At 39.5% G+C, this 11,172-nt stretch overlaps 1 annotated feature.

The window, feature by feature from the left end:
• Positions 1–1,200: an enhancer, noted in NCBI's record as "MED14-independent group 3 enhancer chr3:152955-154154 (GRCh37/hg19 assembly coordinates)". NCBI's record gives its function as "activates an origin of replication core promoter dependent on BRD2, BRD4, P300/CBP and CDK7 cofactors, and independent of MED14, by STARR-seq in HCT116 cells {active_cell/tissue: HCT116}" and the evidence as "EXISTENCE:reporter gene assay evidence [ECO:0000049][PMID:35650434]".

An 11,172-nucleotide genomic window follows, 5' to 3' on the forward strand; every position in this document is an offset into this window, starting at 1 on the left:
TACTATTGGGTGGGGCAAGGGACATCTACATTGTCTGTCACTAGGGTGCAGACATGTCTGAGCATGTCTACTGGATGTTGGATCAATCCTCTCAGGAGTCTATTTGCATAAGAGACATAGTGTCTGCTTGAGTAGAAGTTATAATAAGAGAGGACTGTGTCAGGCATGCCACTCTGGAGCCAGCAAAATTAAAAAATATATATTTAGTCACTTGAGAAAAGAAATTATTTTGAAACCACTAGCAACAGCTCTCATTAGATTTATCTTCTGGCCCCACATTTTAGCCTCGTGTAATAGTCTCATAGAAGGAGGGCAGGGGAAGGAGCTCTAAGGAAAAACTAGTACAGCATGTAAGGTATTAGGGTAGAAGCAGCAACTCTTAGAGACTATGTATAGAAAGTGAAACTGTAAATGCAGAGAGAGGCATTTTTCTCATGTGTTGCAATGGAACATCATTCAGCTTTGACAACTCAGATGTTCCAGTTTATCATTGACACGGTGGTACCTGGCAGAACACATCTTCCCAGGTTATTACAAAGAATCTTGGCAAGCATCTGTGCAAGACCCTGGCAGGTGCCAAATCTATCTGATGTAGCGCAGTTCCCACGTAGGCAGGCTCCGCATCTCACAGCAACCTCTGCTTTAGTAGAACAGCCCTGACATCCAGGTTCAGGCTATCTGTAGCTATGTCTCTGCTATATGGACCTGCCTTTTCTTATTGAAATCTATTATTTGTGGTAGACATCTGATCCAGGCAGAGAAAATAAGGTTTGCTTAAGTTACATTTAAAAGTAATCTAATTCGAATTTTTGAGTAAAGATGTTGTAGGAAAATACAGGTTCTTGTCACACAATCAGAAAAGATTAGGCTCATGGACACACAGAAGGGTGAGAAAAATGGAATTTATTGGGCAAAAAAAAGGAAAAGAGAAAAACTCTCAGCAGAGTGAGAGGGAAGCCTGTGAACTGGCTCCTGCCCCACCACATAGGAGCTCAAGAGGCTGGGTTCCCGGCAGGGAGCTTGCATGGCCCCACCCCATCCTCTGAGTGTGCAGGTGGGCATTATTCAGAAAGAATCAGTTGGGAAAGGGTGGACTTCATCTGGAGCCAGCAGTCCAGTTTTTCAACCTTCAGGCTGTTTTAGGCTTGAAGTTGAGGTTTTGCAGGGAGTCCTTGGCCTCCTCTTGCATCTATCAAAGATAGAGAGATTGAAAGTCACCAAAGTGTCCTCACGTTAATATTAGGGCTCCAGAGTGCAGAGTCTTGTTACTAAATTTCTTGGGGCATGCCCAATTGTTCAGTTATTCTCTTCGTTCTCAGTACAATGCTGGCATTCTTCTAATATAAATTTCATTTAAAATAATTAATTTGAATTTTGTCTGATCAAAAGAAGTTTAATACCTGTGGGAAGAGGACTTTACAGGTAATTAGACATTGACTTGGCAAGTCGGAGGAAAAGTCAGCGTAATATGAATCACTTATGACAATTTCTGTCATTTAACAGCCTGCAGTCATGTCTTTCAATGTAGTACACCATGATGGTTAATTTTATGTCGACTTGGCTGGGCCACATTGCCCAGATGTTTGGTCAAACATTATCCTGGATGTTTCTTTGAAGGCGTTTTTTTGGATGAGATTCACATTCATATCAGTGGACTCTGAGTAAGGCAGATTGCCCTCCATAATGGAGGCACAATGGTGGGCCTCATCCAATCAGTTGAAGGCCTGAATAGAACAAAGACTACCCTCCCCTGAATAACAAGGAATTCTTCCATCACACTGCCTGTGTCCTCAGACTTCAACTCTTCCCTGGTCTCTAGCCTGCTCACTCCTTCTCCTGGAGATTTTTAACTTGCACCTCTACAATCCTGTGAGCCAATTCCTTAGAATAAAATCTTTATTTCTCTCTCTCTCTCTCTCTCTCTCTCCCTTTCTCTCTCTCTCTTCTCTCTCTCTCTCTGTGTGTGTGTGTGTGTGTGTGTGTGTGTGTTTACTCTCTCTCTTGCTCGCTGTCTCTCGGTTTGTGGGTTTGTTTCTCTGGAGAGCCCTGAATAATACATACATTGTTACCTAACAAGTTGGCAGAGTTATCCAGCACCTCCAAAATATCAGTTCTCAGCCTCTTTGTTGTAAGTTTGGTGAGGATCAACAGGCAACAACGGAGTCAGAGTATTAAAAATAAATAGTAGATTTTATAAAACCCTCAGGCTCTCTTATCTGTACTGCAGACTGGAATGTGATCTCTTCATGAGTGAGTGTGCACCCATATGCATTTCCAATTTCTATAGTAACAAATTACCAGAAATGTATTGGTTTCATGTTACTGCTCTGGAGACCAGAATTCTAAAATTTTTCTGCAAGGCTTTGTTTCTTCTGGAATCTCTAGGGGAGAATCTGTTTCTTCTCTTTCCAGCTTCTAGAGGCCACCTCCATTCACTGGCTCATGGCCCCTTCCTGGTGTCATTCTGACATCTACTTCTGTCATCACATCTTCTTTTTTGACTCTGACCCCCTTGCCTCCCTCTTATAAGGTCCCTCTGTGATCACATTGAACCCATATGAATAACCCAGGATTAGCTCCCTATCTCAAGATCCTTAACTTCCTCACATCTCCAAAGTCCCTGTATTAGAAGCGTTTAAACCAGAACAACTCCATCTTGAATAGGAGCTGGGTAAAATAAGGCTGAGACCTACTGGGCTGCATCCCCAGACGGTTAAGGCATTCTCAGTCACAGGATGAGATAGGAGGTCGGCACAAGATACAGGTCATAAGACCTTGCTGATAAAACAGGTTGCAAAGAAGCCAGCTAAAACCCACCAAAACCAAGATGGTGACAAGAGTAACCTCTGGTCATCCTCACTGCTACACTCCCATCAGCGCTATGACAGTTTGCAAATGCCATGGCAACCTTAGGAAATTACCCTATGTGGTCTAAAAAAGGGGGGACATGAATAATCCACCCCTTGTTTAGCATATCATCAAGAAATAACCATAAAAATGGGCAACTAGCAGCCCTCAGTTCTGCTGTGCCATTTTTTTATTCCTTTATTTTCCTAATAAACTTACTTTCATTTTACTCTATGGACTCACCCTGAATTCTTTCTTGCATAAGATCCAAGAACCCTCTTTTGGAGTCTGAATTAGGACCCCTTTCCTGCAACACCTATGCCATGCAAAGTTAACAACCCACATACTGTGGATTAGGATATGGGTTGCCCCCCTTTGAAATATGGGGTCATTATTTTGCCTGCCACAGTGCCCCATATAAAACGGTGGTCCTCCATGGATATTATGGCTCAGAAAAAAAATTGAGGACTACTTTTTTCTGGAAGGCAAAGAAGAGAGAATCCATTAATTTTTTTGTCCTATATCGTGTTCAAAATTTAGACCCAAAAGCTTCCTCTCTCCTAATTTAGGATGACAGAAGTAATGAAAAAATATCAAAAGACAGAAGAAATATTTCTAAGAGTGTAGATTACTAATTACTAAGAATAAGTACATGAACACAAGAAACAGAGCCTCTGTTCATGTGGAAACTAAATTGTTAGTAAAGGGAGAGAAATAATAAACACCATAAATTGGGATACATTTCGAGGGTGGAACTGACAGAATTTGTCGGTAAATTAGACATGGAGAGTAAGAGGAAGGGAAAGATTATGGCTCCAGTCTTACTCAAGCATCTATATGCAAGGCACAGCACCAGGGACTACAAACACCCTGATGGTAAGGTGGAGATCAAATCACCCTTCAATAATCAAAGTTTATCAGGGTCTTGCTATGAACAGGAGCAAATCAGCCAATGGCCAATGCATGTTTGAAGAGATGCTTAAACTCACTGCTCATCACAGTAATGTAAATTAAAATTATGAGACAATTTTTTTCATAAAATTGGAAAGAAAATAAATAGTAAAAATTAACAGTATGATGAAGGTGCCTGAAAGGCTATCTCAGTCATTAGCTGTGTTTCAAAAGAGACATCAAATCTTATATTATTGAAGTTGTAGGGAAGCAGATACTTTCCACTTATTTTTGGAGAGATTGGAGATTGGTTTTAGCTTTTCAGAGAAAAATATGTTTCTATGTCTCTTAAAATTAAGAAAAAAAATCCATTAAGGAGGCTCAGCCATTACACATTTAAATATGAAAGAAAATTACGGAGGTGTACAAAGAGTAGATTCAGAGGGTTCACTAGAGTATCATTTATAATAGAAAAAAATCAGACCAAATTTAAACAGTTTTTAAGAGAATATTGATTAAATGGACTGTCTGTATCCATATAACAAATATTCTTAATAAAAAGGAGTTAAAACACATAGGTGAGCAAAAATAGACTTAGTATTATATAACTTATGCCCAGAGTCTTTACAAAACAAAACTACATACATCCTTTTGTTCACATATAAGTAGGATATGAGTTCTGTTAAGGATGGAAAGCCACAGAGAGCATTTTCCTTACCTATATTCCTTAATTATTGTAAAATGATATTGTATCAATGTTGCATTTGTATAATTGAAAATTAAAATGATGACAAAAATAAAAAGGAGTTGAGTGGTTCAGTAGGAACAATGGATAGCAAAGACTTACTGTGCTGCACGGCTTTACATTTTTGCCAAAGCTTCGCTCACTGGGTAAGCCCCCAATTCTCCTGATCATTTGTTGCTTTTCCTGTTGATGTGAAAATCAGGCATTTTTTCAGACAAAAGGCAGTAGAACATCTTTGAAATGAAAAGCGACATAATGGCGCAATACTTAAGGGTTTTATTCAACTATAAGATCAATATAAATCAACACTATGATGAGGTTTCTTGCAATGCCTGCCTTCATCACTAACTACATTAAAAGAGACATCGAATCTTAAAAAAGGGAAGAAAGAGAACTCTACTCCATGCTGCTTACACAGTATCTGCAGTGTTATATCAAGGTGTGCACACTATATTTGAATCATGTGCAAAGAAAGAAAGCATGGCTATTAAAGGGCTTGAAACAATGTCCTATGGTTAATAGTGAAATGAACAGGGAGGCATTTAACCAGGAGAAAAAAGTACTCAAATGACATATGATGGTTGACTTTAAGCATTTTAAGACTGCTACATAGAGGACAAAAGGAGCTCATTCTGTTGACTTGCAAAATACAGAAACTAAGAACTACTGTTTCACAAAACACTGACATGTACATTGTTTCTCATTCTTGTGAGATATTATTGTCCTGTTTGACAGCTGTGTCAGAGACCAAAAAAGTTTGTGTTTCCTTTTTCCATAATGTTATCTCTGAGAAGTGGCCACCAGCCAGGGACTACATTCCCTAGCCCCACTGAGCTGTGGCCCCACGATTGTGTTCCAGTGAATGGAACAGTAGTGGAAAAATTGGGACCCACTTCCACAGGCGACACATTTACACACACACACACACATCTCCTATGCAAATGCTTTCATATGCTTTTTCTCTTTCGGTTAGCGAGAATGAAGAAGAGTTGTAGTACAAACTAGGAAACCAAAGCTAATTATAATGGAGGCTCCATCAGCCTGGATCCTTGATGGACTGCAAGGAAGAGGGCAGCCCTACCAACTTGTTAATCCACTTTGTAGTATTATATACTAATAATTCAACTTCTATTGAGGCCGAGCCATTATACACTTTGAAGTCTATTGTCAAAGCAGTTAATTCATTGAACAGATTCAGAAAGTAAAACTCAGCAGGTAAGTGTTGAGTCTGAAAACAATTACACTATCAAGAGGTTCAATTAAACTCAAACCCAGGCCATCTTATTCTGCATCCAAAACCTTTTCTCTTGTACCATCCTGCTATACAACAGAAGTAGAATCAATGTTATAAATAAAAAGGACAGAGATTATGGCTCAACATAAAAGAACTCTGTAACAGGCCTATTCTTGCATTTCTTTAAGAGGCAATGTGTTCTCCATCGCAAGAGGTGTTCGAAAGGAAACATTAGAGAAAGAATCCAACAGCGGATGAGTGTCAGAGGTAGATGATTTAATATTTCTTACGACCTCAGATTCCATGATTCTGTGCACACTTGAAGCACTCAGATGATGTTTATTACACAAACACTATGTACTCAGTAGCAATTTGGGAGCCCTGTGGTCTCCTTAACAAGGTATAATGGGAGTGCTAGGAACTGAGCCAGAAAAAAAAATGAATGAGAACTTTCACTAGAACAAGGTCCAACAAATGTTTCATTTGGAAAGGTTGGTAAGATTGAGATTGACAAGGAACTTGATTAAAAACATATAAATGATTCTTTGAACAAATAAAATTCTTGGATAATTCATTGACTATGGAAGAGCTTACACAAATATAAGAACCCATGCTTATGACTATTTGTTGATCTCACTGCGATAATGTTCACCTCCAGAGGACCAGGAGACCATGAGTAAGGAGGTAAAATGTCAGAGCAGATTTCTTTGGTTGATAATGGGTGGGGTGACATGGGGATGAGGGCTGTAGGAGGCAGATGGTGATTTCAAGTTTGAGTAGCTTGTCAAGAGGTTCTTATAACACATACGGGGTTGGGTTTGAGCTAGAAAAATAGCAAGTTCATTTGTTCTCACAACTCCTACCCTCCAGTAAAGCTGACTATGGCTGCCACTTCTGCTTCCACTTTGTTTCCTAGAGGGCAAAACCAAAAAAGAATAGAAGAGGAAGAAAGAGGGTATTGAGGTATGCATAAAGTAGACGTAGCTCAAGTTCAGGTGACTAAGATTTTTGACTTAAACAGTTATTGGCGTTTGTCTAGACCTCCCCCAATAAAGAGATAGATGCCAAAACTTTGAGTTATTTATGCCAGTGCTATATCAAAATTCTGAAGTGATTTATTCATTCAACAAAAACTTTGTAACCCCTTACTGTGTGTCAGACACTGATGTAAGTAATGGAGAAGCAGTAATGAGAACAAAACAAATCACTGCCACTGCCTTCCCAGAGCTTACATTTCACTGGTGAAAAGAGACAATAAACTAAATAAGTAAAAGAATGCATTTTGAGTAATACTGATAAATGCAGAAAAGGAATGTAAATCAGGACATGTTGGTGGAAATTTTAGAAAAGCTAGCTAGGAAACGCTGTACTGAGAATTGGGGTTCTGAATAAATTCGGGAAGGCATTGATATAGTGAGCCAGACAGAGAGTTGAGGAGGCTCCTTGCAAGTAGAGGAAACAACAAAGCCCAAGGCATTAAGCTGTTCCTGGCATAAAAGAGCTGATATGTCTGGAGCAGAGGGCACTAGAAAAAAAAAAGATACTAGAAAGATTGCAGGAATCAGAATTAACAAAGCCTGAAGGTCAGAGTAAGACCTTTTAGTCTGGCTGCAACGAGAACCCTGGAGAAGCTTAAGCAAAAGATTGACAGGCTCTAACTTACTTGTTAAATGAATTACTCTAGCTACTGTGTCAAATAAATTTGGTAAAGGTGGAAGCAGGGAGATTAATTGGATCATTGCAATATCTAGGCATAGTGGTTTGGTCTGGGATGGTGGCTATAGGACCAGTGAGAATGAGATGAATTCTGAATATGTTTGAAGTTAGAACTGAGAGGATTTGCTGATAGACTAAATATAGAGTCCCCATGTGATTTTTCTTGTGTCTATTAGAGTCTGAGAGGCACTGAATGAGTCTGAGAGAGAGAGAAAGGGCTAAGGATCTATAGAATGCTTGACAGGGAGCAGTAAGGGCTAACTTGAGATTAGGGATGAATTTTAAGTAAGATCAATCAGGATGTTTTGTGTCTTCTTCAGACACCTTCGACAGTGCTAGAGGAGGCACTGAATACATAGAAAGGTAAATTTAACCAGGGTTTTGGTTTTGCCATGAGAGTGAGAGAAGCAATGCAGTTGCAAGAAAGTTGACTATAATCATAGATAAGCTGTAAATTATAGTAGTAACTGAGCACAAAGTATAAGCAGAGTAGGAAGGGAAGAGAAAACATGGTTGGTGGGAGTCAGTAAAAGACAGTGAAAAATTGCTTGGATTGATGCATTAGACAGCAATGCAGGGGTTGAAGTGCTACTGGAATTTGGGCATACAAGGAGACAGCTAGAGAACAGTATGCGATGCGCAGTTGATAAAGAACAAGATTAAATACATGGCAATGATATGGTGTGCCTGAGACAGAGTGAAGAGCAAGGTCACTGGAGAAGAAGGGGCCAAGAAAATAAAAGGAGGGCATTGGAAGGATCATCTGAGAGGCTACGGAAATTATAAAAAATTACAACACTGGTAATGTTGAAGTGACAGTGTATCAGGAGAAAACAATCTCTAAAGAAAAAGAGATAGGCTGGGCATGGTGGATCACACCTGTAATCCCAGCACTTTGGGAGGCCGAGTGGGGTGGATCACGAGGTCAGGAGATGGAACCATCCTGGCTAGCATGGTGAAACCTCACCTCTATTAAAAATATATAAAATTAGCCAGGCGTGGTGGCGGTAGCCTGTAGTCCCAGCTACTTGGGAGGCTGAGGCAGGAGAATGGCATGAACCCGGAAGGCGGAGGTTGCAGTGAGCCAAGATTGTGCCACTGCACTCCAGCCTGGGGGACAGAGTGAGACTCCCTCTCAAAAAAAAAAAAAAAAAAAAAAAAAAAGAAAGAGAGATAATGACCTGAGAATGGATGAAAAATAAGGAAGAATGTTGGGTGATATGTAGTCAAATGAGATGGGATTCAATGCTGACTGTTTATGCTTTGGACAGGAATGGTCTAGAAGTGTCAGTGGAGAGAGATAGGACATCTGTCCTGCCACCAGATGCCATGATACCATAGGAGAGAAAAGAACCACTCACTAAGAGTGCTGCAGAGAAAGATTTGCCATTAGAGGAGAAAGGATTTTGTGTGAGCAAGAAGTGAATGTTTGCTGATGAGGTTGAGAATATCAGTTGACTGAGAATTGACATAGAGCTCCATATGGCCCCATGAAAGGTTATTAAAGATGGGGAGGGAGAGATAAGGGTCAGAAAAGGCAATGGGAATTAGGGGTGGGGATCTGGAGGATGAGCAACAATATGAAGCACCTGGACACCTTGTGACATTCAGCCTAAACAGGGAAAGGGGCATGATGACTAGCTCCAGTGGTCTCAAGGCAGATGGAATAAAGAGGCTTCTAGTATTGAGGGGGAAAAGGGATGAAGAAGGCCCTTGCCAGAAAGAAGAATTCCGTGGTTCCCACTTAGCCAATGCCATTGGAGACAACACACCCTGCTGAAGGATGATCTTCCTCTGAGGTTGTAGACACCTGCTTGGCCTTTGCTGAATGGAGCTTTTTTAGAGTTGGGTTTTCTTTTTAGCATAGGCACTCTCCAGGCCTACGCATATAGCAGCCTGCAAGTGGGGTGTTATCACAAAGGCATATTTAACTCAGTGTAACTAACTGATAGTGGAACATCAGAAAAAAGGAAGAACATCAGAAAGAGAGAAATATACCCAAATAAACTAATTGCAAGGAATAAAATATGGGTTTAGTTGACAGATATGTTGGTCAGTGTGCAAAAAAAAAGGTAGAATAGTCCATTATAATAGTTTATTATACCTGCCAGCTTCCTTGTTTTGGCCATTTGTTTACTCTCCGTTTTTGACACCTGCCTCAATTACTTGTTGTGACTCTGTCGATTCTGATGTTGCAATAAACCTAAACATTATGACTAAAACTAAATATTTTGTGCTTTTTTTCTTCTTTGCCTCATACTAAACTCAGCCAGAAGCTGAACACTCTCATGAGAGTTCCCAGTATGATGGAGAAAAGAAAAAAATATGACAAGCACTGCTTGTCAATAGAGAAGCAAAATAGAACATGCCTTTTTTGGGGGGCCAGAAGTGCCACCTTTAGATGTTAAATATCATCCCTTCGGTCAAAAAAGATGCTGAAAATCTTTCTAACTCTTTCAAACTGTGCTTTCATCAAACTGTCAGGACTTCCATAGATAGCTGAAATTCCAAATCAAAAACCTAGCAAGCAGTTTCATCGTCTGTGTTCAAATCTCAGTGGGACTTTATAGCACTTTCCTTGGGAGCAAAATTCATGTGTCTGAAGCTCAGCTTACATTTCATGTTGAAAAATTGCAATGAATACAATGAAGTTTCTTACTGCTACATAAAATTGAAGCACCAAAGAGAACAGTGTGTATTTCACAATGTTTGATATAGTATTTGATCATAACTTGAGGGAATCAATGAACCTTCAAGAAGAAACTCTTGGGGATCCTCATGCAGCAAATTCAATCATTTGTTCATCAACTCATTACATTTCTATTGTACACTAGCCATGTGCTGGGCTCATCCTAAGGAACTAAACAGGCTCTTAAAATGACGGTCTGTAGGCGTAAAACCTTTTCCATTTTAATAAGTAAATATAAGAAAAATACAACTCATGAACTAGGTATTTCCCAGGTTTAATTCAGAACATCATAGTGTCAAAAATTGTAGTTACTAATTGTGCATCAAAACAACAATGCCAAAAAAAGAGATAACAATCTTTTTTGTTCTTGAAAAACTAGCAGATTAATGTATTTTGCTACTTAGATATTATCAGAAGTATCGACCAGACTACTTTAAGCAACAAAATGACAACAAAAAATCAAAGAGTATATTGGCGAACGGAACTGAGAAATTCAGTACACAGAACTTCAGGCACAGCTTGATCCAGAAAATCAGCATTCTTTTTCTCTTCCTAAACTTCTCAGCCTTTCTCTCCACAGTGTCTTATCCTTATTTTCCCCAACTATTAGTACATTTCTTTTAAGAAAATCTGGAAGAAAGCTTCTGAGAACTCCTGGCTCAAATCATCACAAATTAGAATACAACATTAAGAAAAAAGTGTATTCCCTCTCACCTGCTGCCATCATCTACATATCAATCTCAGGAAAGATGCTAATTTCACCTCTGTGAGTTATCTTCTTAACTTTAGACCAATCACTTTTCCCAGGGGATGAGATATTAGCTAAGCCAAAGACTTTGTAGCCAGAAGTGGCCAATGGACTGTGATTGATATCTCTTCAGAAGCAAGGGAGTAGTTAGTACCCCCAAAAGGAATGATGATGAGGAGAAAATAAAAGCAACATATATTCACTATGCCCAACCTGGCAACAAGAATTGAAGTAACCTATATATCTAACAGATGAAATTATTTATGGTACAGCTAAACAGCAGACTGCTATGCAGATACTAT

This window comes from Homo sapiens, chromosome 3 (genome assembly GCF_000001405.40).
Source record: "Homo sapiens chromosome 3, GRCh38.p14 Primary Assembly".
Taxonomy (NCBI): domain Eukaryota; kingdom Metazoa; phylum Chordata; class Mammalia; order Primates; family Hominidae; genus Homo; species Homo sapiens.